We start from the raw sequence: 27,345 nt of genomic DNA, 5'->3' as shown, positions 1-27,345 counted from the left end.
GTGCCCTTAAAAGCATTCAGTTTTATAAGGGAAGCAGAGCATAAAAGTTTGGAAAATTTGCAGCCTGACAATGCAATAGAAAAGAAAATCCCATTTTATGGGGAGAAATTCAAGCTGGCTGCAGAAATTTGTGTAAGTAGCAAAGAGCCTAATTTTAATCCCCAAGACCAAGGGGAAAATGTCTCCAGGCAATATCATAGAACTACCCTGCAGCCCCTCCTATCACAGGCCCAGAGGCCCAGGAGAAAATAAATGGTTTCATAGGCTGGGCCCAGGGTCCCCATGCTATGTGCAGCCTAGGGACTTGGTGCCCTGTGTCCCAGCCACTTCAGCCCTGGCTGAAAGGGGCCAATGTACAGCTCAGGCTATTGCTTCAGAAGGTGGAAGCCCCCAACCTTGGCAGCTACCTTGTGATGTTGAGTATGTGGGTGCATGGAAGTCGAGAATTGAGGTTTGGGAACCTCCGCCTAGATTTCAGAAGATGTATGAAAATGCTTGGATGCTCAGGCAAAAGTTTGCTGCAGGGCGGGGCCCTCATGGAGAACCTCTGCTAGGGCAGTGCAGAAGGGAAATATGGGGCGTGAGTCCCCATGCAGAATCTCCACTGGGTCACTGCCTAGTGGAGCTGTGAGAAGAGGGCCACTATCTTCCAGACTCCAGAATGGTAGACCCACCTGCAGCTTGTACTGTGTGCCTGGAAAAGCTGCAAACATTCAATGCCAGCTTATGAAAGCAGCTGGTAGTAGGGAGCTGGAGAGGTGGCTATAGCCTGCAGAGCCACAGGGATGGAGCTTCCCAAGACTGTGGGATCCCATCTATTGCATAGGATGCCCTGAATGTGAGACATGGAGCCAAAGGAGATCATTTTGGAGCTTTAAGATTTAATTACTGCCCTGCTGGATTTCAAACTTGCATGGAGCAACCAGGAGGGGGCTGTACCCTTCAATACCACAGAGCTAGAGCTGTCCAAGACTATGGGAAAACACCTCTTGCATCAGCATGCCCCAAATGTGAGACATGGAGTCAAAGGAGATCATTTCGGACCTTTAAGATTTAACTGACCACTGAATTTCAGACTTGCATGGGACCTGTAGCTCCTTCATTTTGGCCAATTTATCCCATTTGGAATGGGTGTATTTACCCAATGCGTGTACCCCCATTGTATCTTGGAAGTAACTAATTTGCTTTTGATTTTACAGGATCATAGGTGGAAGGGATTTGCCTTGTCTCTGATGAGACTTTGGACTGTGGACTTTTGAGTTAATGCTGAAATGAGTTAACACTTTGAGGGACTGTTGGAAAGGCATGATTGGTTTTGAAATGTGAGCACATGAGATTTAGTATGGGCCAGTGGCAGAGTGGTAAGGTTTGGCTGTGTCACCCACCCAAATCTCATCTTGAGTTGTAATAATCCCCAAGTGTCATTAGAGGGGCCAAGTGGGGAGAATTTGAATCATTTGGCAAGATCTTTCCTCTGCTGTTCTCGTGATAGTGAATGAGTCCCACGAGATCTGCACACACCGTCTTGCCTGATGCTGTGTAAGACGTGTCTTGCTTCCCCTTCGCCTTCCACCATGATTGTGAGGCCTCCCCAGCCATGTGTAACTGTGGATCAATTAAATCTCTTTTTTAAAATAAATTACCCAGTCTTAGGTAGGTCTTTATTAGCAGCATGAGAACAGATTAATACAGATATAATACATCTAAGCTATATGCCCAGCAATAAAATAAATAAATCGCCTAATACTCAAAGAACTTCATGACTGAAGCTGAGTTGGAAGATTCTACTGGTAACACTCTAGTATGATATTTGAAAGGGCATGTGTATTAGTGTATTAGTCTGTTCTCACACTGCTATAAAAAACTGCCCAAGACTGGGTTATTTATAAAGAAAAGAGGTTTAATTGACTCACAGTTCCAAATAGCTGGGGAGGTTTCAGGAAACGTTCAATAGTGGCAGAAGGGGAACAGGTACCTTTTACATGGTGGCAGGTGAGAGAAAGTGAATGTCTGAAGGAGGAACTTTCAGACACTTATAAAACCATCAGATCTCATGAGAACTCACTATCATGAGAACAGCATGGGAGACACCACTCCAATGATCTAATCACCTCCCACCAGGTCTACCCTTTGACATGTGGGGATTGTGGGGATTACAATTCAAGAAGAGATTTGGGTGAGGACACAAAGCCTAACTATATCATTCCATTTCTGGCACCCCCCAAATCTTATGTCCTCACTTGTCAAAACCAATCATGCCTTCCCATCAGTCCCCCAAAGGGTTCACTCATTTCAACATTAGCTCAAAAGTCCAAGTCCAAAGTTTCATTTCAGGCAAGACAAGTCCCTTCTGCCTAGGAGCTTGTAAAATCAAAAGCAAGTTAGTTGCTTTCAAGATACAGTTGGGGTATAGGCAATGGATAAACGATCCCATTGCAAATGAGAGGAATTAGCCAAAACAAAGAGCCTACAGGTCCCATGAAAGTCTGAAATCCAACGGGGCAGTAACTAAATCTTAGAGCTCTGAAATGATTTCCTTTGACACCATGTCTCACATTTGGGGCATGCTGATGCAAGAGGTGGGCTCCCACAATCTTGGGAAGCTCCAATCCTGTGGCTTTGCAGGGTACAGCCTCCCCTCAATCCCCTGTTCCCTGGCTTCTTTCATTGGCTAGAGTTGAGTGTCTGTGGCTTTTCCAGGTGCATAGGGCAAGGTGTTGGTGGATCTACCATTCTGGAGTCTGGAGGGTGGTGGCCTCCTTCTTGCAGTTCCACTAGGCAGTACCCCAGTGGCGACTCAGGGTGGGGACTCCAACCCCACATTTTCCTTCTGCACTGCCCTAGCAGAGGTCCTCCATGAGGGCTCCACCACGGCAGCAAACTTCTGGCTGGACATCCAGGCAATTCCATACCTCCTCTGAAATCTAGGCGGAAGTTCTCAAACCTCAATTCTTGACTTATGTGCACCCAGAGTCCCAACACCATGTGGAAGTCACCAAAAGTTGGGGCTTGCACCCTCTGAAGCAATGACTTGAGCTGTACATTGGCCCCTTTTAGCCATGGCTGAGATGGAGGCTGCCAAGTCCCAAGGCTGCATAGAGCAGCAGTGAGGCCCTTGTCCTGTTCCACAAAATCATTTTTTCCTCCTAGGCCTCTTGGGCTGTGATGGGAAGGGACTACCAGGAAGGTCTCTGACATGCCCTGGAGATATTTTCCTCATCTTCTTGGCTATTAACATTGTGCTCCTCATTACTCATGCAAATTTCTGAAGCTGGCTTGAATTTCTCCCCAGAAAATGGGTTTTTCTTTTCTATTACATGGTCAGTGTGATGGTTAATACTACGTGTCAACTTGATTGGATTGAAGGATGCAAAGTATTATCGCTGGGTGTGTCTGTGAGAATTGCTAAAGGAGATTAACACTTGAGTCAGTGGACTAGGAGAGGCAGACCCACCCTCAATCTGGGTTGGCACATTTTATCAGCTGCCAGTGGGACGAGAATTAAAGTAGGCAGAAGAATTTGGAAGGAGTAGACAGACTGAGGCTTCTGACCTCCATCTTTCTCCTGTGCTGGATGCTTCCTGCCCTCAAACATCAGACTCCATGTTCCTCAGCTTTTTGACTCTTGGACATACAACAGTGGTTTGTCAGCAGCTCTTGGCCTGTTGACCACATACTGAAGGCTGCACTATCAGCTTCCCTAGTTTTGAGGTTTTGGGAATTGGAATGGCTTCCTGGCTCCTCAGCTTGCAGGTGGCCTATTGTTGGACTTCATCTTGTGATCATGTGAGACAGTTCTCCTAGTAAACTCCCCTTTGTATATTCATCTATCCAATTAGTTCTGTTCCTTTAGAGAACTCTGACTTATAAAGTCAGGCTGCAGATTTTCCAATCTTTTACACTCTGCTTCCCTTTTAAACATAATTTCCAATTTTAAGCCATCTCTGTGTAAATGTATAATACTGAATGGTTTCAAAATCAACCAGGTTACATCTTGAATACTTTGCTGCTTAGAAATTTCTTCTGCCAGACACTCTAAATCATCTCTGTTAAGTTCAAAGTTCCCCAGATCTCTAGGGCAGGGCAAAATACTGCCAGTCTCTTTGCTAAAGCATAGCAAGAGCAACCTTTCCTCCAGTTCTCAGTAAGTTCCTCATCTCTATCAGAGACCACCACAGCCTGGACTTCATTGTCCATATCATTACCAGCATTTTGGTCAAAATCATTCAACAAGTGTTTGGGAAGTTCCAAACATTCCCACATCTTCCTCCCTTCTTCTGAGCCTGCCTGTTACCCAGTTCATAAGTCACTTCCACATTTTCAAGCATCTTTAGAGCAGTACCACCCCACTACTTTGGTACCAATTAACTGTATTAGTCCATCCTCACACTGCTATAAAGGGTTGCCCAAGACTGAGTAATTTATAAAGAAAGAGGTTTAATTGACTCACAGTTCCTCATGTCTGAGGAGCCCTCAGGAAACTTACAATCATGGTGGAAGGGGAAGAAGTACATCTTATCAATATTGGTTTATTAATTGTGCCAAATGCCATATGAATATAAGATGCAAATAATAAACTGGGTGTGGGGTATATGGGCAATCTGTACTAGCTTTGAAACTTTTCTGTAAATCTAAATCAAATGTAAAATAAAAGTTTAAGAAGTGATCTTGAGGTGAATTGACTTCTAGATTGAGCTTGAAAGTGTTGTTATTGAGTACAAAACTAATGGAGGGGGTAATTTAATAGATCAGAGCTCAATGGAAAAGTTTACTATTTGAACATTGGCTAGAAATCCTTGTTTAGCTAGACAAGTTAGGACTCCAACAAGAGTGTGAACTGTCATAGTGCCGTGGAAGCTGATGGATATGAATGCACACAATTGAGAAATGAAGCCCCAGGAGCAATTGGGAAATAACCATAGGATTCCCAGTCCAAGATATCCAATTGCAAAAGATTTTTATTTTTTATTTTAGTAAACTCAGTTCATTAAATTAATCTCAAAGGATGTTATTGTTTACCAGCATACATACCCAATAGAGTGATTAGAGAACAGTAAAGCTTCTTATCAGGTTAGACTGTAGGATGACTTATGAATTAGAAAGAAAAGTTTCCAGTTGTTTTTAGTCTCATGCCCTCTAGGGTCTCTTTTAGCTCAATCATATGAAGATTTTGATTTCCAGTATATAAGACCTGGTATCCATTTAAACCAAGCACATACTTTAAAATACTGCTGTGTAAAAGACTACAGTGGCTATAAAGGGATAAAGCACGCTGATATTGTAAAGGCTTTGTGTCCTCACCCCAATCTCATCTTGACTTATAATCCTCATAATCCCCATGTGTCAATGGAGAGGTCTGGTGGGAGGTGATTGGATCATGGAGACAGTGTCCTCCATGCTCTTTTCATAACAGGAAGTGAGTTCTCACAAGATCTGATGGTTTTATAAGTGTCTGACAGTTTATCTTTCACAAACTTGCTCTCTCTTGCCTGCCACCATGTAAGATGTACCTCTTCCCCTTCCATCATGATTGTAAGTTTCCTGAGGGCTCCTCAGACATGAGGAACTGTGAGTCAATTAAACCTCTTTCTTTATAAATTACTCAGTCTTGGGCAACTCTTTATAGCAGTGTGAGGATGGACTAATACAGTTAATTTGTACCAAAGTAGTGGGGTGGTACTGCTCTAAAGATGCTTGAAAATGTGGAAGTGACTTATGAACTGGGTAACAGGCAGGCTCAGAAGAAGGGAGGAAGATGTGGGAATGTTTGGAACCTCCCAAACACTTGTTGAATGATTTTGACCAAATTTTTTTTGACCAAATTTGATTGACTTGTAAGAATCTTGGAAAATCTTGGAAAAGAAAAAAAATGTTAGGTAAAATGTAAATCCTTTCCAAGATTTAGTTGTCATGTTTCCTTACGCTCATCTTGACTATGACTGTTTCTCAGACTTTTTTCTTTTTAAGAGCTTGATAATTTGAGGAGTGCTCATCAGGTATTTTGCAGAATATCCCTCAGACAGAATTTGTCTGATTATTTCATCACGATTAAACTGGGATTATGAGATTTTAGGAGGGAAACCATACGAAGGTAAACAACACTTTCATCATATTACAGCAAGCGTACATATTATCAACATGATTTATCACTGTTGATGATATTGGCCTTGATCAACTGGATGAGGTAGTGTTGGTGAGATTTCTCCACTCCATCTCAGTCTTTTTTTTTTAATCCCCCCTGTTTGTTCTATATTCTTTGTAAGAGAGTCACTATGAGCAGCCCACACTTAAGAAGTGGAAAATTATCTACCACCTACTTGAGAATGAAATATCTACATAAATTATTTAAAACTCTTGTGCATGGGAGATTTGTCTATTATCTCTCATTTATTTACTCAATAATTTATCTATATCAGTATGGACTTATGGATATTTATTTTATAATTTGTGCTATAACCCAATACTATTTTATTTACTTTATTTTTTTGTTCAAGTTGTACAAGTTTTGGCCATTGGGAAATCTTTCAAGTGCCCCCTATATCCCTTTGACATACTCCCATCATTAAGGTTTGTTTGTTTGCTTGTTTTACATGTCTTTACTTGCTGGCAGTGCAATATATTCTAGCCTTATGTATATTTCCTGCCTAGTCCAAGGATCTGTCATTTTTCCAAGGAACCCTGGTTCTTGTTTTTGGAGAATGGTGGGAGAAATCAAGATCTTGCTACTAGTTAAACTCATTGTTTTTAGGCCCTTTCAGCTGATAAAGTAAAAATGAAAAAAACTGTGTACATATACATATATCTTTGCATAGTTCTCTCTCTCTCTCTCTCTTTCTCTCCCATCTGAATTTATATTAAGTTCGAACTGATGTCTTCAACTCTAAGCCATGACTGCATGAATTATTCATGTCTCCTCTTGCTTGTCTATAACCTCCCACTCCAACAGTGAGAAATCTGGCTCCCACCTTCCACCACCCATTTATTTAATTGTTCAATTCCAGTATACATCTATTGTGGTTTCAGAATTGTTAACCGTTATCCCCATGGGAAAAATGTTATACTCTAGGGTATAATATTTATGCACAATTCCTTTTGCCTTTAGCCTTCAGACTCCATCATTTTTAGTTACGTAGGTCAGCATCTTTCCCTCACCTCCTTCAAGTGAGGTTGTTTTACATTTGTAATGTGGTTAGATAATTTATGATCACATTCTGCATTCCATCCTGTAATCTTGACTTCTTAAATTTAAAAGATGACTTCTTAAAATAAAAAAAAATTGCATATATTAATGTTCACTCTTCATATCATAAAGTTCTATGGATTTTGACACATGCACAATCTCATATATTCCCCATGAAGGCATCATACAGAATATTTTCTTACCCTAAAATTTCCCTATATTTCATCTATTCAAACTTCCCACACCCTATAAGACTAATTTTCAAACTACGTTTTTCTTCTATCTAACCATCATTTTTCTCGAAATATTTTACATATAAAGGTGACCTACAGCTCAATTTCTGGTAGAGAAATAGTGTTAAAGTGAAAAATCTTTCTAACTGAATGATCTTGTATTTGCCTTTATATGAGTAAGACTGAAGAAAATATTCATGCTCTGTTATGATCAATACAAAAATACTTTGTTTGCTTTTTTGCATGTCTTTACTATAAATAATTCTAAAATACTTAATGAATATTTTGAAATAGATATGTCGGTCTATGAGCATTAGGTTAGGAAATAATGATAAAAAGTTAAACTATGCAAACTGCAGAATGTTAGTATTAGGGACTAAAATACAGCAGCCACCATACTTATTATTAACAACTCAGAGACCCATAATAAATTATCAAATTTGAAAGTAAAGCAGCAGATCAGAATCAGAAAGAATTCTGAAAACTAAACAAATGGTGATTCAAACATCTAGTTGCATAGGCACTAGGAAATCCATGAAGAACAGAAAAAAAGGCAGCAGATCCTGTCATATCTACCTAACCAGTTTTTTCCCTCGGTCTAGAAGTCGTAATGGGCTTTGGGTTAGATTAAAAATCAAGTATCAAGGATAGAATCTGAAATTTGAAGTTGACTGTAGTAACTAGTGTTGGAAAATGAGTAGTTGGGAAAGAAGATAGCTCCTGACTGGATATTAAATTCCATTATTTCATATTCATTTAGGAGAAAAGACTTACAAAATATTTTTTTAGCTAAGCTACAGGTTGAAAACCTGGTCATCTTCCTTTTTAGTTTAATTAAATTCAATAAATATTTCTGGAATTGGTACTATATTTAAGAGACTGCCCTGAGCACTGGGTATATAAGGATGTCAGTTGATGTTTTTTAAGGAGCTCATGGCTTTATGAGGAGAGGCAGATCAGAAAACATTGCTCTGGGTTTCAGGAATACTTTTCCTCATAATAATTCCCTTCAGCTGAGTTTGGAGCTGTTACTCACAGTCCACCAGAAAGTTAGGACTGGGAGGAAGCAAGGGTATTCCAGTCAAAGGGAGAGTGTTGGCCAAGTACAGCAGGCCAGGATGAAGGCACATACCTATGAAAGGAGTGGTACACAGCCAACTGTAGTTACGATTTAGAATATTGTCACAGTGTGGGGAAATTAGGAGAGAGGCTGAAAAAGTAGGATATTACTATGTTATGAAAGAATGATAGGCTATACTGAAGGGCTTGGCCTTCATCCTGAAGGCCAGTGATCCACGCTCCCTGGCTCCACCCCTAGAGATCTTGATTCACATAAAGTGGGGTGGAGTCTCAAATTTAAAAGTATAGTAAGGATGAAGAAATTTTGCAGCAATGACACTTAGTAAAGCCTTATAAGTAATACTGTTTTAGAAGTTTTTTACACTGAGGCCATATTTTTTACCTTATATATTATAATTGAGAAATACATTTAGTTTTGTAGGAAATATGTTATATTTTATAATTGGTAGTATAAAAGGATATGTGTATATGTGTGTGTATAAATGTATGCATATCACTATTCAGTTCCTTGTTTGATTATATGTGTATATATATACACATATATATATATATTTAAAATTTTAAAATCTGCTAACTTTTTGGCCTAAGGTGGAACTAATGAGAAGCTAAATAAATGCATACTTTGTAATATATAACTAAACTAACCTCTTATTTGACATTCATTTTTATTTTAAGGTCATATAGTATATTGTAATTAGGCACATTGCATCATTCAATGAATCTTTATTCAAGCCTCACAAATTGAGAGAAATCAATGACTCCATATGACCAAATGGCTAATGCTAGATGTTTGGTATATGGCTATCAGTTCAAAATCTATAATAGGTGAGAGACCAAAGCTTGTTGGTTTATATAGACATCTAGACCAAATTTTCTTTGTATTTTATTTTGGGTTTACAAATATAAGCTTTGACATTTGAATCTTCAATTTTTTTTGCGCTTTTTTTTTTTTTTTTTTTACTGACACAAGGAAAATATGTCTGTTTACTGTAGAATAAATACAGTTTCCTTAAAACATTTTTAAAGCATGCAAAAGTTCATGTTTTATAATGTTAGGAGGGTTTCTTTAGGTAGGAGTTCTGCATTTCAGAGGAGCCATATATGACACAAACAGTGCACAATTGGGAACACTAGCTGATAATGATATGATCATTTTTGGCAGGCTCTTCATGTAGTTCTGGCAGAAACGTAGTGATACATTAGTCATTTTCACAGAGAAGATACGGGTCCATGCCAGTCTCCTATTTGGGGTGCCATCTGTACCATTTTTGTCAGTAAATTCAAAAAGAAAATATATCCATTGATGGGTACTATTTCTATTTTTTAATCATTGTTTGAGGCAAACTATACCATTCTTAGAATAAAACAATGAGTACACATAACTAAAATTGCTTCTGGGCATTCTTCACTAATGGAATACCCATATCAAAATTACTCCAACAAATTTTAACACTTTCTTTTAATTTAAATTGTCCACAATTTACTGTCTCTGGAGCTCTTGGTATATAAAAGGAAACAGTGAATTCTACTTTTTGTTTTATTAATAATGGAGCAACTCACTTGACTCTCATTGTTTTGCCTCCTTCATCTGTAAATATAGTAATAAGGACAAGCAGTATTTGAATTAAAAAGGGCTATATTTCTGTTAAGGTTAGCAACAAGTAAATTTATTCTAAACCTAAATGTTGGTTGTAATGTATGGAGGCAGGCAGTTCAAAGTTTGCTGACTTACTTTGACTAAATGTCTATGTTAATATTATAAATTTAATACAGATCATAAATTTGTTGAAGAGAAGAGTTGTATGTTATTCATGCTTTGAACATATTAAGCACTCAGTAGATATTTATTGTGCTGAACTGAAGCACAGATGGACTTGCTATAATGACTTAAGGGGATCTTCTGTTAAGCAGAGGAATTAGCAGACGTACATTGGTATAAAATAGGATTGGGAAGAATGGTTTCTTACTATTGATATTTTTGGTATGTATGAAAAGGAAACTATTACTTACCTCCAGATTGAATTCAGAAGTGTTGTGGTTTTCTGAACTGGTTTTGGGTCATTACAGAAGGTGTTCTTCAGAATAATGAGTATCGCATAAATGACTATTCCATAAATATAGTTGAATTTTCTTCATTCAACTACTAGTAGCTAAAGAGAAATAACACGTATTAATAATTAAAATCTATTGAAATCTTGCTTTGCACAAGGCATATTAAACATTTTACCTCTATTACCTAATTTGATCCCTTAATTACCCTTTTAGATAAATACAATTTTTATTTTCATTTTACCAATGGGTAAAATGAATCCTGACACATTTTAGTACTATCATCCTCCTTGCAGTGAATAGCTTTAAGATATACATCTTATTTATATTACAGGTCCCTGAGTATAACTGTAGCTGGCTAATGTGTATAAAAGGCCGCATTTTGTTGCCCAAATGTACTAGTGAGAGACCGGATGTTTTGCCAGTTATTAAGAATAGACAAAATACTGAGAAATGGTAATACCCTATTAATTAAGTCTAATAGAGAAAACACTTTCTTTGATATTTTAGGCTGTAATACCATGGCATTTCTAATCTTGTAGCTAAGACCTGCTACCTCATCTAAAGGGAAGCCCAGTTTCTATTTGTGATTTCTTTTTTTTTCTTTTGAAAGAGCGTTTTTTATTATTATTATACTTAAAGTTCTAGGGTACATGTGCACAACGTGCAGGTTAGTTACATATGTATACATGTGCCATGTTGGTGTGCTGCACCCAGTAACTCGTCATTTACATTAGGTATATCTGCTAATGCTATCCCTCCCCCTCCCCCAACCCCACAACAGGCCCTGGTGTGTGATGTCCCTCTTCCCGTGTCCAAGTGTTCTCATTGTTCAATTCCCAGCTATGAGTGAGAACATGCGGTGTTTGGTTTTTTGTTCTTGCGATAGTTTGCTGAGAATGATGGTTTCCAGCTTCATCCATGTCCCTACAAAGGACATGAACTCATCATTTTTTATGGCTGCATAGTATTCCATGGGGTATAGGTGCCACATTTTCTTAATCCAGTCTATCATTATTGGACATCTGGGTTGGTTCCAGGTCTTTGCTATTGTGAATAGTGCCACAATAAACATACATGTGCATGTGTCTTTATAGTAGCATAATTTATAATCCTCTGGGTATATACCCAGTAATGGGATGGCTGGGTCAAATGGTATTTCTAGTTCTAGATCCCTGAGGAATCACCACACTGTCTTCCACAGTGGTTGAACCAGTTTTTGTCCCACCAACAGTGTAAAAGTGTTCCTATTTCTCCACATCCTCTCCAGCACCTGTTGTTTCCTGACTTTTTAATGATCACCATTCTAACTGGTGTGAGATGGTATCTCATTGTGGTTTTGATTTGCATTTCTCTGATGGCCAGTGATGATGAGCATTTTTACATGTGTCTGTTGGCTCCCTTCTTTTGAGAAGTGTCTGTTCATATCCTTCTCCCATTTGTTGATGGAGTTGTTTGTTTTTTTCTTGTAAATTTGTTTGAGTTCTTTGTATATTCTGGATATTAGCCATTTGTCAGATAAATAGATTGCAAAAATTTTCTCCCATTCTGTAGGTTGCCTGTTCACTCTGATGGTAGTTTCTTTTTTATTATTATTATACTTTAAGTTTTAGGGTACATGTGCACAACGTGCAGGTTAGTTACATATGTATACATGTGCCATGTTGGTGTGCTGCACCAAGCAGACCTAATAGACATGTACAGAACTCTCCACCCCAAGTCAACAGAATATACTTTCTTCTCAGCACCACACTGCACTTATTCCAAAATTGACCACATAGTTGGAAGTAAAGCACTCCTCAGCAAATGTAGAAGAACAGAAATTATAGCAAACTGTCTCTCAGACCACAGTGCAATCAAACTAGAACTCAGGATTAAGAAACTCACTCAAAACCGTTCAACTACATGGAAACTGAACAACCTGCTCCTGAATGACTACTGGGTACATAACAAAAAGAAGGCAGAAATAAAGATGTTCTTTGAAACCAACAAGAACAAAGACACAACATACCAGAATCTCTGGGACACATTCAAAGCAGTGCGTAGAGGAAAATTTATAGCTCTGATGGTAGTTTCTTTTGCTGTGCAGAAACTCTTTAGTTTAATTAGATCCCATTTGTCAATTTTGGCTTTTGTTGCCATTGTTTTTGTTGTTTTAGACATGAAGTCCTTGCCCATGCCCACGTCCTGAATGGTATTGCCTAGGTTTTCTTCTAGGGTTTTTATGGTTTTAGGTCTAACATTTAAGTCTTTAATCCATCTTGAATTAATTTTGTATAAGGTGTAAGGAAGGGATCCAGTTTCAGCTTTCTACATATGGCTAGCCAGTTTGCCCAGCACCATTTGTTAAATAGGGAATCCTTTCCCCATTTCTTGTTTTTGTCAGGTTTGTCAAAGATCAGGTATTTGTAGATGTGTGGTTTTATTTCTGAGGGCTCTGTTCTGTTTCATTGGTCTATATCTCTGTTTTGGTACCAGTACCATGCTGTTTTGGTTACTGTAGCCTTGTAGTATAGTTTGAAGTCAGGAAGCGTGATGCCCCCAGCTTTGTTCTTTTGGCTTAGGATTGACTTGGCAATGCGGGCTCTTTTTTGGTTCCATATGAACTTTAAAGTAGTCTTTTTCCAGTTCTGTGAAGAAAGTCATTGGTAGCTTGATGGAGACGGCATTGAATCTATAAATTACCTTGGACAGTATGGCCATTTTCACATTGATTCTTCCTATCCATGAGCATGGAATGTTCTTCCTTTTTGTTTGTATCCTCTTTTATTTTGTTGAGCAGTGGTTTGTAGTTCTCCTTGAAGAGGTCCTTCACATCCTTTGTAAGTTGGATTCCTAGGTATTTTATTCTCTTTGAAGCAATTGCGAATGGGAGTTCACTCATGATTTGGCTCTCTTTTTGTCTGTTTTTGGCATATAAGAATGCCTGTGATTTTTGCACATTGATTCTGTATCTTGAGACTTTGCTGAAGTTGCTTATCAGCTTAAGGAGATTTTGGGCTGAGACGATGGGGTTTTCTAGATATGCAATCATGTCATCTGCAAACAGGGACAATAGATAACCCTGATGGCCAACTTCTTCCTCCAGCCTTAAGAATAAACATATGAAAAATAAATGTATTAGATATGGTTTACCAAATGCCTGGAGAGTGGTGTTTCTGTAGCCACCTATATAAATAGATGCTCATTCGGTATGTGCAAATAATGGCCTCAGAGCACCTTGGGACTGGTATGAAATCCCACAAGAGACGCATTGTAGTAGACCCTGTATGTTCATTTTAGTACATTGTCTAGGAAGATGGCAAACAGAGGCATCAAAGTAGTGTTTTGTTTGGTAGGTTTTTGCCTAATATGGCTTTTATTCTGTTCAGTCAATACAAAATTATTGATTATCCATTAGAGACAGATGAATTTTCAAAATAAAAATTTGAATAAAACAGAAACACCTGAATGGAAGGAAAATAACATATTTTTAACTCACCACTTTCCAAAATGTTGTATTTTGCAATGGATATTCTCTAAATTGGATATGTAAAATAATACTATAAAATACTAGAAAAATTCTTCCGAAAGTTTGGAAGAATGAAATCACTTTAGATTGAAAGAGAGTCTAGGACTTTGAAAGGAATTTGGAGAAGTTTGGGATCAAAGGGCAAATGGCAGCACCAATTGTTCCCAGTTTTGAAAACGAAGTTTATAAAAGTAAAAAAGATTTGATATTTAAACAGTATCCTGGGTAAATAGTAGCCTGGGCATTAAGAAAGATCTCTTGTGTAGTCATATTTCTAACCTAGATAAAGATGTGAATATAGATATATTCCTAATTATAGGCACACCACCAAAGGCCCTGCCTGATCCTAGAGACATGCACCATTTAGGGCTTACCCCTTCTTAAGTCAGTGGCAGAGATTAAGAATATTTCCCTCGCCAAAAATATCCTGGGACCCTTCTTACCAAGACCAGTGATATAAGTAAATAGTTACTATGATGCTAAATGTCATTCCTTCATTCTGCCATGGCCACTCCCCCCAGTATATTTCCTATTGTTTAGAATTATGTGCAGTTGTATACCTAAGGATACTTTCAATACACTTTCTCTTTGTTTCTCCAAAATGAGAGTGAAACTTGAAAGTGGTTACTCTTGCTTCTGAAATCTAAAGCCATATTACATATCCCATAATAGGGCAGTAAAATTATCCATACTCAACATAAGCCACACCTTAGGTCTGAAAAATAATGAAAACTTCTAAATCTTCACTGGGTATATTATCATTTTACACATTGTGCAAACTACTTTTGTAAAGTCATTTTTTAATATTATAGAAGTGTCCACTGATAATTTATCAAAATTACCCTAGAGTAAACTCAAGATGCAATAGCAAAATTTCCTTTGTAACACAGTAAATGAGTAAACGTACATTTAAAAATTCACTGCCTTGCAAGCATGGGTCATTTTAAATTCCCATTTTAGTAGGTAAGTTCATCTCTTCTCCATTGTTCAAAATTCCATTAACTCTGTGCATCTTCCTTCATTCAGTAGCTCCTGAAAATTTTCCCTGTAGGCCACACTTGAAAGAAAAAGGCCTTGCTTTTATTTCTGATTGTGATTCTTAAGTCTGGAATGCATTTTGAAGTGAATAAGGAATATTTTTGTTGTTTAATCATGAAGTTGAAGAAATTAGGTTTTCCTGTCATGAAAAGCCTGTGTAATTTCAAGTGCTTATGTGTCTTCTCAAATATTTATGCCACCCAACTTATGTATCCATTAGTTTGGCTCTTGATCTGGATTTCCACAGTCACATATCTCTTCATTCCTGATGTATATCTGGCTTACACAAAAAACACGAGAGCCCAAGATTTAAGAGAGAAGATGGAGTTTCAGAAGTGTAAGCATTCCTGGGAGACCTTACTTTGATGTTTCAACAATCTGTCTTCCCGAGAGAGAAGACAGGTTGAAGAGGGATATGAAGAATTTTTTTTTCACTGCTTAAATAAACTTCATTGAAGTATAGTTTGCATGTAATAAAATTTTAAGTATACAATTTGAGGAGTTTTGATAAAGGTGTATATCTGTGTTACCATTATAATAAAGATATAGGAAATTTCAGTCATCCTAGAGAATTCCCCTCTGATCCACTGTGGTCAATTCCTCTCCATACACTCATATCCAATCCCAGACAACCAGTGATCTGATTTCTGTTATTATAGTTTTATCTGCTATAAAATTTTATATACATGGAATCAAATAGTAGGTACTCTGGATTATTTTGGTCAGCATAAACTTTTTATAATGTTAAATTTTTTTAAATGGTAGAAATTTAATGGGCCTCATACTAATACTCTGTAAGTAATACCTCATGTAATAATTATTTTTCCAAATATATTTCATTATTACTTAAATCAATCATAAAAATGTCTTAAGATTCTATGTTCAATTCCAACTTAAAAATAAATCACTATATACATAAGCAGAATATATATAGAAAATAAAAAAGAAATTACTATAGTTTCTAATTATCTTAAAGAATGTACTGATTTGCTGTTGCAGGAGGATAATGTTAGAGGAAAATGATGCTTGGAAAAATTGAAAGGATAATCTAAATCTTACTCTATTCTTTTGAAGATCCCAATCTGAAGACGATCAATCAAGATAGTTTAATTACAGAATAATAGAATAGCAAACTTTTCATTAATAAATAAACTTTCTAAATTACAAATTTTGCCATTACTGACTAAATAATAATTAAATTTGTCATTATTTGAAATTGTCTTCATTGCCTACACATTTCATAAATCCTTTATGTGATTTCTCAAGACTAAAGTTAGTTTTAACTTACATGGCATATGTTTCTTTAGTGATTATTATTATTATTATTATTATTATTGCTTTTTTTTTTTGAGATGGAGTCTTGCTCTGTCGTTCAGGCTGGAGTGCAGTGGTGCAATCTTGATTCACTATAAGCTCCACCTCCCGGGTTCATGCCATTCTCCTGCCTCAGCCTCCCGAGTAGCTGGGACTACAGGAGCCCGCCACCACGCCCGGCTAATTTTTTGTATTTTTAGTAGAGATGGGGTTTCACCTTGTTAGCCAGGATGGTCTCGATCTCCTGACCTCGTGATCCACCCACCTCGGCCTCCCAAAGTGCTGGGATTACAGGCTTGAGCCACTGCGCCTGGCTAGTGATTATTTTAACTCATATTGAAACACAGAGGAATTTTTCAATGCATAGAAATATGAGTCAAAAGAAAACGATATTGGAGAGTATAATATTTGGTACATTGAGTAATGATGATGAAAACTAGCTTATAAAAATTCAAACTACATTTTGTGTAACTATTCTATAGCTAGAATCTTGAGAATCACAGTACCTACACAGTGGGAGAGTACAAATGAAGACCTATGCAGACGTCTGCTATAAGAACAGAACAGCCAACACACTATATGATGGAAAGGAGCAAAATGAAGAACAGATGATAAGTGGTGCTTAACTTTATTAAGCCAAGTGAACACTATTAATGAAAGTCTGTATCTAACAAAGGCAAATTACTTTGCTGTAATCATGTTCATGAGCTGTCTTGTGGCTGCCAGTCAGGGCCTGCCACTCATCTAAAGGAAATGAAAGCCTTGAAAATGTTAATTAGATGTTACAGCCTGATCAATATTGAAGAACCTTTAATTTATAAGTTTCCACCATTTTCTTTGCAATGTCCTCATGTGTTTATAAGAACAAAAGCCATGGAATTGTGGCAACATGAAAAGGTCAGCCTGCTACCTAAATTCTTTTGAAATCTTGACCTGTGTAGTCACATATGTCTAAATGAAAATCTATCAATTATCTCACTGAGAAATATTTCTAAAATATCAGTGAAGAATTAACTTGGCCTTACATCAGAAAATCTATTTCCTGAGCATAGATGTTCCTTTAATTGAAGATAACATGTAATTTTGGCTTTATTTAGGTAGAAAAATTCCTATTTGCGGTATTCTGGTAGAACCCTGCCTGGCGGTAAAATCAATAAAGCTTCATCCTCTACACTACTAAAATTCTTCAATTTGAAATTCTTTCCTAGCTTTAGGTCACAGATATACAGCCATCTAGGAAGAGGTAACAGATGAGGCTGCATTCTTCAACATTTTTAAGTACAAATGTATTTATCAAATTCTTCTTCACAAGCACTTTGGATGAGACCTCAGAGGAGGTGGGCTTATAGAAAATATGACTACTTCAGAGAAGGACAAAACAGCCTAAGAGGAGAATGCTAAATGTTCTGAAACAACAACAGAATAACATAAGCTTCTGCCTATAACTTCCTTTCATTTTGGTAATATACGTCAACATTCCTATTAAGAAAGCAGTGACAGAACCTGTTAATAACAGATTATTTTATTATAATTCATATGAATTAAACACAAACTACCGATAACTTATCTTCTACTTAGGGAACATGGGGAAAAATTTTAAATCTCAGTTAATGGCTGGTGGAAAGTGGAGGGAAAGTTCAGATACACAATTTCCTTTTTCTTCCCTTTGTTTGGGTTGACTTTCAGGTAGGTGCTTTAGAAATGACTAAGAAAAGGTAGTGTTCTTACAAAAAAAAAATGAAGAATAACAGTTGAGTTTTTGAGTCCCTGGAAATAGTTGTATGAAATCTTAATCCGGTCATTGGTGACTTTTACTATCAAATTTTTCTTCAGCTTATAGAATTTCTGATCCATAACAAAAGTATCCAAAATTACTGCTTATACTTGTTTTTCCCACATTTGAGCTTTTAAAAAGGGTAGTTTATGCTCATTTTCTAAACTTTTCTACCTTCTATTTATCTTAAACTTGCTGTGTTCTGGCTTTTTTCCCCACCACTCCACTGAAACTGCTCTCAGTAATGTCACTGTTGATTTCTAACTTGACAACTTCAATAGATGCTTTCAGTAGCCTCCCTGTGCCATTTGAAGCGGCTATTCCCTCCCTTCTTGATATTACCTCTTCAGTTCTATGACTCACTGTTGGTCTCATTTTCTCTTAGTTTTTTCTACCTAAAGGATTAAATCTTAGGCTACTGCAGGGGCCCTTCTTCTTCCACACATTACATTTGGGTATACTTCAGAATTCCATTTTTGTTCTTCATATTCTATATATATTCCTAGATGATCACCCACTCTTAAGATTTGCCCACTATTTATATTAATTGCTTTTAATAATCCAGCAAACAGAGTCTGGAGGGTCAGCCTATCTGAGTCCAGAGGTGAAAACTGCCTGGGGAATTGTACCAGGGACAATGAAGAATAACAGCACACTGTCTCTATAGCCTGTAGCAGGGATTTGCTCAACCCATCATCTCCTCTCACTGACTATGTGCCAGGCATTGTAAGAAAAATTGTATATGGAAGGGTATATAAAATAAATCAAAATGTCATGATATTCTACTTGTCTCACATAAATCTACCCATAGGAGTGATTGAATAACCATTTGCTAATTGTTTGGGTCTACTAAATAGGTCATAGGAAGTTCATCTGGTCTAGAAACTTCCTAGTATTACTCAAGAATAATAAAAATAGAAAAAGAGAGACAAGAACAGATGCTGTTGTAGAGATCATGCCAAGAAAATGTAAAGCTTTGAAGCTTTTCATTTCCTGGTAACTACCACCATTACCTCTTCAAATTTCAAATTGAATGTTTGTCACTATTAAGTCAAAGAGACAAACTGTTCATGCTACAAGTTCATTATATTCTATAGGTGTACATGACAAATGCATCTGAGAATGGTACCTTCAGGATAAACCTTTAGGCAGTTAGCTTTAAATAAATTATTTTGTTGGTGTGTTATGGAACCCTCGCTTAATGAGATTTATAGGATGTGACCACTCAGATTATATTCTTCAGTGATCTATGGATCAGTGTAGTACTGTGGATCAATATGACTAAGTTACATGTTTCCCCTAAGACTTGTTATCTCTAGGGTACAGTTAATTTAGGAAAGAAAATACTAGGGGATTAAAATATCAACTTTCCCCTGGGGCCTGAAATAAATAAAACGGGTAGTAATACTACTTCTCTTTTAAAGTATTGGAATATAAAAATACCTTTTCCCAGAAAATTGTACCCTACTACCTAAACTTTCCCTAAAGTGTCTCCTATTCTTAGTCATGCTGTCTATGAGCTGTGCCTCATAGCAACAATGCATTGTCCTACTGTGTACCTGTGACTACCTTGACCAGACAAGCTCAGAAGTCTGCAGAAGTGGAAAAGAATTAAAATAGAAAGAAAAAAATAAACAAGAATTAGAGAGCGTGTGTCCTACTGGCCTTTGTATTGATTATTCAAGTCTTGTATGACACCTGGATCCTCTACCTTGAGTAGTGTTTAAGATAGCATTGTATTTTTTTCAATAAAAGCCCTGATATTTTGAATGAATTTGTTTTGAAATGTGTTGCCTAGTATTTAAGTGCCAAAATACCCATTTCATCGGGGAACAATTTGTTCCTTCTTTCAGAAAATATTCCTCTTCTCTGCTTCTCAATTTTACTCTAGGTGTACAACTTCTGTGGAAAGTGCTATATTTTTACATAAACCCTATGGTCTGGCTATAGTTGATTATTGCTAGGTATGGACCAATTACAGCTCTTACCTACTATTTTTGAGTCATGAAGCAGGGAGAGCATTAGACCATTGTCTCTCCAGAGGCACATTTTTTAAATATAAAACTTGCAAAAATGCAAGCATGTTTCCTGCTAATGTAGGTCTGTAGTAAAACACTGTAAAGTCAAAACCTTGATGCACAATCTGGAGAGAATATCGAAGGTGTTCATGTCATGGCTTCTAAATGATCCCTAAACAGGCTTCTTTTGCCTTTTTGCATTTTACTTGTTTAAACCTTTCTTAGATTTTCTGAGTCAATAATTCCCACATATGTCTAAGCTTGTTTAAATTGGGTTTCAATTAGGGTTGCCAGATTTAGCAAATAAAAATGCAAGATACCTTTACCTTTGAATATCACATAAACAATGATATTGCAATATTGGGACATACTAAAAAAGATCCATTTTTTATCTGATATTCAAATGTAACTGGACATTCCATATTTCATCTGGAACCCTAGTTTTGATCACTTGCAGCAAAACTGAATCAGTTGCTCTCTGTGACTCGTAACCAGACAGAACTATTTCTTATAGTACTTTGGATACACATTTGTATTTAATCAAAAAAGAACACAGGAAGCAATTTTGTGCTTTCCAGGAAATTTTGTGTAGCCTAAATATCACTGTACAACTCTGATTCTTCCTATACAACTTTGGTAAGTATCTCTCTACAGAGTGCAAATGTAACTTTGAAGCAGAGCATTTAAGTGATCCAGGAGCCTTAATGTGTATTTCAAGTCAAGGCTCTGAGAAATGGATTTAATGTTCTCTTAAGGCTGAAATCCAGGAACCCTTGAGTGTCAAAGCCCAATGAGGGCTCCTGGACAAATCACTTAATCTCGCTTCTTCAGTCTCCTTATCTTTAAGCTGTAGGTAATATTTCTTTCCAGTCTTCCAGAAGTGTCACGGTGATTAACATTTATGGACTGCTTTGAAGATGAAAATTCTATATCTTGTTAAGCATTAGCAAGATGGCAAATAATATATAATTATGCTGTGTACCTGCAATAATCTAAGAGCATGCATGTTTTCACAGTTTTAATAATAATTTCAGTAAAATAAAAACATGAGGTTTAGTTCTCACTTTAATTTGATAAAATGCTTTACTTTGGTTTCACAGCTATGGGAAAGGTTATTTGAAAAAAGAAGTGAAAAAATAAACGCAAATATTTTATAATATTTGGGCTACAAGCAATTTTTCTTCATAAAAACCTAATTGTTCTCAAATACAAATGGCCAACTGTTTGCTTTTCAAATGAGGTTTACCATTAGGACTGCTTTTGAAAGCATGCATTAAGATGGAGGGATGGGAAGTTACTATAATTTTCAGTTCATGTTACTTCTTGAGTACTGTCACTTTTCTATATAAAGCTATAGAAAGTGAACATTAGCCCTTTAAAAGAGTCATATTTCAAGGATCAGGTGGGAAAGACAGAAGTGTTGGATGCACCTCACTGCACTGCTGTTCATCCCCAACACTTTGCACAATGTGAGAATGTTTAATAATTCCAACCCAACCTACAGATAAGAATCTCTGGTGTCACATCACAACTGACAGTGCTGGTGTGAGATTTGCAGTAAAACAATATTCCAGCTGTAGCTTTCATTTACAGAAATAAAACAGCAGAAGTGGAGGGAAAAAGGCCAGGAGAAGATAAACACTTTCATCTTGAAACAGCACTGACATTAAATTATAATAGCTATACTCAAACAAGGAGAGAAAATCCAACCTCAGGACCTAAACCTAACATGTATTATATCAGCTAAAATCCATCGCTCTGTCTATATTTTATGTGAGCCAGTTAATGTTTAGTTATCCAGAGAGATCACCAAATATAAATAAGCTCTTTCCCAAATAAAGGCTATGGCAACTGTGGGACAGGCGGCCTTATTTTTCTCCCATTAATCACTAGAAACTTCACACGGCGTCAAAGTCTCCAGGGATATTTCTGGCTGGGAAAAAGATCCTCCCTCCTCAGTTCTAATCAGTCCATCCCATCTGTAATGGCTTTAGAAAATTGTTAATGACATAAAGTGACAGTCGAAGGGCTTTTTGGTCTGTCAGTGTAGGGTTACTATGAGCTCTCTAACAAACTACTACATCCAGGCCTCAAAGCTGCTGGAAAATGATCTGGATTACGAAGGAATAAATTTGATATGTTAGCAATCACAAGCGGGAACTGAAAAGAAAGGCTTCCTTAATACGGTTCTTTTAGGCTATAATGGGAAATATGAAGATAAATCTGGCTCAGAGACAAACCCACATAAGACTGCCACGAGCACACAGAATATAGATCTCGGTTATGAGATGTGTAAAACACACAATGGCCTGAATCAGGAGCTAAGTATATAAGTGCAAACAAACCCGTTTTTATAGTTAGCATGGCATTTTGAATGGAGTTTTAAGCCTAAAGGACAGTATCCTACTTGCAGAAGAAGATGGGAAATGTAACAGTAAGTACTGGGCTTTTATATATAGAAGTCTAATAAGAAAATGTTCTAGAAAATTATGAACATAAAGCAAATTAAACTGAAATTGGCTTTCCCCATAAAAATTGAAATACCTTGCTTTCCCTAATCTAAAATATTGTTTTTCTTTTAGTTCCATTATCTTGCTTTGGATTTATGGAAATTCTGAACAGTGATGTGAGAGTGACTACAGTTTGAAGTATCTGTTAAATACAGCAACATGACATCACAAGGTATAATCTCATTCCTTGCCTTATATAAAAATTCTGCACAGAATTGATAAATAAATGCATATCTGGGAATTTGAATCTGTTAAAAATAGGCAGATAATAGAAATGGAAATATGGAGATTTTTTTAAAAAAAAAAAGACTAATTTTATCCTAATGCGGTAAAACGTTTTCTTTCTTGTATTTTTTTTTTAGTTTCTAGAATATTCACCTCATTAGGACATCACAGAAATTGACAATATAAACAGTCAGTTTCCCACACATCTCCTGTAGGTAGTGCAAAGTACCTTAAAAATATTACATCCTGACAAATCTACAGATTTTGCATGATTAAGTGAAATGATTTTTACCTAGTTGTGCAGAAAGATTTTTACTTAGTAGTAGAGAACAGCAAGGTGATATATTATCCCCAAATCCTACCATGTTCCATAAGCTACATAAAAGCAAATGTTATCTCAATATAAATATTTTTCCTATTAGTGAAAAAAAATTCAGACCTTTAAAGCAGGATAATTTCTTATTAGTCTGAGACAGTTTCACAAGGGCTGTATCTGACAAACTCCACTTTTACCAGATGGTTTCTAGAGAAACCCTCCAACTCCATCATTCTACAATTAACCATAATTTTTCTTAGGTGAGTATCATTTAGTAGGAATAGACAACCAGCGAATAGGCCCTGAATTCTGCTACAGTTGTGCATTGGTAACAGGAATGGAATGAAGAGAGAACAAGAATAATTTCTCAGCAAATAATCCTCATTGAATTATGTAGGGGAATTTCAACTGATTCCTTTTCCATCGTCAAATGTTGCACATTCTCTTAGAGAAGAAATCACTGGCATACTGAAGGAAGTTCATCCTATTTGACTTTGGAGCAGGTCATAGGCTTTGGAGACCTATGCTAATTCTTTCAGACTGCTAGGGAGCTAACTCATAAATATCTATTTCAGTGTTCTAAAATGATTAAATGACATCATAATGACCTGGTTTAAAGAAAATGTTACAAGAGATCCCCTAAATGATACCCTGGTGGCCTGAAAGAGTTAATGCAGTTTCCTTAAGTGCCCAATTCAATCTTAGTTTGCAATATACAGAGCAGGGAATGTGTCCCAGTAACTCACTAATAGCCATATCTAATAAAAGTATATTAAGGAGAGATAAGTTCTTTGAAGGAGTCTATCAAAGAGCAGGTGGCAATTCTGATTAATACAGCTCTGCTAAGAAAGGAGAAATGGAGCCTTTGGAAATTCAGTAATCCTGTAGAGAAACATTGAGATGATGCCCTTCTTAAAGAATATCTCAAGGGATCATGATCCATGACAACAGATACTATGTTCTTCCAAAATATAGTTAAGGTTTATGTGTAACACACTCTGGCAGCAAACAATATTTTTTATAGCGAGACTGGGAGAGTACGAGAATGTTTTTCTAAGTTTTCAATGTATTCAATATCGTATATCTACGTAATATATCAGAAAAGCAGATAGAAATTGGAAACAGGTCTCTTATTATAGTATACGGAATATTTTTACTATACAAGTTTATATTTTATATAAAATGTGATCATTTTATATAAAGTTTAATATTATTAGATCGAATTCTACAATCAAGTTGGGCATCAGATGACAGAACATGAGAATGAAATAGAAGAGAAAGAGAAGAGAGACAATTTTAATAGTAGAAGTAGAAAACACATTTTGGTATTCAAAGATAATTTAGTCAAATGAATGAATCAATTAATAGAAGCCTAGAAACATGGAGCAAAAAGAACTAACCATGAGTTCTGTAATCACCTTAAAATTATTGCACATATAAGTACATATATAGAATGTTTAAGTCCAGAAACAACACAAGTAGGTATATATATAGTTATATATTTGTACAATATAAATTTATTCTATGATAAAAGAAATCTTTCAAATCTATGAGCAAGGGAAAAGATTTGGAAGTCAGTACAATGTGATTGTGAAGAGAATGAAATCTTGGCTTGATATCTCTTGGTTCTAATCTCAGCTCTTATTCTTAATAGCTGTATTACCTTGAACAAATCACTAAACTGTCCTTCGATTCCCTTATCTGAAAATTGGGGAGTATAATCACACTTACATTGAAAAGTAACAGAAATAATAAATGTAAAGCATTTGGCAGAGTATTTGGCTCATAGTAAACCATAATAAATGCTAATTATTATTATTCAATAAATGGGGATTTAAACAAATGGCTAACCACATAGTAAACAAGTTAGGTCTCCCTTATGCCTTATGTAAAACATAGAATCAGATGGATGAAAGAGTAAATATAAAAAAGAGAATTCTAACAGTAGGAAAGGAAATATATATGAATATTTATAATAATATTGTGGTTGGGGAAAGCAGGAAACACAAAGCCATAGACCTATGAAAGACTGTTGAAAAATTTAAACTTCTGATAGAAAAATAAGGATAACAATAAAAGACACACAGCAGACTAGAAAAATATTTGTAGTGTATAATACAAAGGGTCATGATAATTTACATAAAGAGTTCCTATCATCAGTTTTTCTAAAACATAATGTTTGATCAGGCAGCTAATAAACACAGATGGTATATATTGCGAATTCATTGCTCTGTGTAGTTTCAGAGCCTTCTCAAAATTTATCTCAGGTAACTTTTTCTGTATATAAAGGAATCAACTTAAATGTTACTTCAGTAGAAAGGCCTCTTCTGATCTTCAATCTAAATATGTTTTTTTAAATTTCCTTCTCATGGCATGTATTTTTTGTGTGTATGTGTCATAGCTCTTGTTCTTTATCACATGTTTATATCTGTTGGTTTATAACCATTTCCCCCTCATTAGACAATAGCTCATAGGACTGGGTGTATAGTGTTTACACTCTGTAGTAAGTCCCAAACATATAATAGATATTGAAGTAATAAGATCATTTAAAGGATCCAGAACACTATGTTAAAGCATTTAGCCTTTACATCTAAAACAGTCAAAGAAGAATTTTAAGCAGGGTTAAGCCTTATTGGGCTTCAGTGAAGGGTGAAGCATGAAATGGAAAGTATACACTTAGAGGCCAGGTGCTCCTTTAGAAAAGGGATTGAAACAATCTAAGAAACTGGGAAGATCTAAACTAAGGAAGTTTAATGCCAATATAGGAATAATTCCAAAGATACTTAAAATTAGGTGATTTTAACTGAAGTAGTGTATGCATAAAGGGAAACAATGAGAATAAAATTTGATTTTGGATTTTAGAGCAGACTGTAAAATTTTGATGCTATACCAAGACATTTGTAATTTTTCCTCTGAGAAGTAGAAAGCCGATGAAGAATTTTGAAAATTAAATTTTGTCTTTCATTTGCTTACTTGTATGTTTTAAATCATCTTGATTATGAAGACTAAGTTATTGAAACACATGAATTAGACTTCTGAGGACCATAGGAAAGTTGAAGTTTTAGTTCTGTGAGTTACTACTCTCAAATTTAGCCATAAGTATCTAGAGGCAAGGTCATCTTAATGAAAAATTTTGGGATCCTGACAACTATTGTCAAATGAACTTCCTTTATCATCATTATCATTACCACCACAATCATCATCAACATCACCACCCCCAACGACAATAATGGCAGCAATGACAACCACAACAACAACACACATTTGTTGGAAAATTATGTAAGATACTGCAGTAGGTTCTTGAGTACATAGAAATCTGGCATAGTCCCCGACATCGAAAAAGTAAAATATGTGCATTAAAATAACACTAGTCATGTAGAGGAGCATGTGATAAAATGAGTAGTAAGGAAATAATTTATTCTGGAGTTTAAAGAGAGAATTGTTTGTGGACCGAAGTGTCTTTAGAAAAAGGTTGATGGAGCAGGTGACACTTGAATTGGTCTTTGAGGAAGAAACACATTCAGATAAATATAAATATACCTACTGAGACAGACGTACTACAAGACAGAAGAGGAAGTTCCTACGGCCTCTTCTAAGGACAAGTAGACCAGTATACAAATAAGAGTGCTTTGACCATACCTTAGAGTTCATAAGGAAAACTAAAAGAAATATTCAGAGAGCTGGATAGAAACAGATTTTAAAGTATTTCGAAAATAAGATACTTTACTACAAATAAAGAGTAAACTAAGGTTTATTTTGAGGAAAGTGGAGAACCACTTACATGTTCAGAGCAAAGTAGCTACTTGTAGAAAGTTGTGTTTTAAGATTTAGAGAATGAACATAATGAGCATGTTCAACATGAAGCTTAGGGGTTAAAATTCTGGTTAAAGAAACCACTGTGATGGTAAGTTTTTTTTTAGTACAGGAAAAGGAGAACCTGATGTAAGAAATCAGAAGAATGGAATAATATGAATTTCTTTCTCTTATCTTTTATTAGGAAAAATTTCAAACAATATTAAAGAGAATATAATGAACCCCCAAATATTCACCACTCAGCTTCAAAAATTATCAATTCATGACTAATCTTATTTTATCTA

The 27,345-nt window shown here is 36.2% G+C and overlaps 1 long non-coding RNA gene across 5 annotated transcripts in view, besides 1 other annotated feature; it reads left to right on the top strand.

Moving 5' to 3' along the window:
• Window positions 1-27,345, top strand: part of LOC102724934 (uncharacterized) — a 181,069-nt gene that overhangs the window by 94,494 nt on the left and 59,230 nt on the right. For 3 of the 5 annotated variants that reach the window (XR_001750707.2, XR_001750708.2, XR_943701.3), the window contains exon 5: window positions 22,780-22,879. This is a non-coding gene — a long non-coding RNA (uncharacterized LOC102724934). Of the gene's footprint in view, window positions 1-21,719; window positions 22,632-22,779; window positions 22,880-27,345 lie in introns of those variants that run through there. The other 2 variants (XR_007064104.1, XR_001750706.2) reach the window with 2 other exon arrangements.
• Window positions 20,886-23,393: an enhancer, noted in NCBI's record as "VISTA enhancer hs1168". NCBI's record gives its function as "enhancer in: hindbrain (rhombencephalon)[3/8] | cranial nerve[8/8] | facial mesenchyme[7/8]" and the evidence as "EXISTENCE:transgenic organism evidence [ECO:0001131][PMID:17130149]".

This window comes from Homo sapiens, chromosome 14 (assembly GCF_000001405.40).
Source record: "Homo sapiens chromosome 14, GRCh38.p14 Primary Assembly".
NCBI classification, from domain to species: Eukaryota; Metazoa; Chordata; class Mammalia; order Primates; family Hominidae; genus Homo; species Homo sapiens.
The sequence above is the reverse complement of the archived record's forward strand: the minus strand, read 5'-3'. Positions and strand labels throughout refer to the sequence as shown.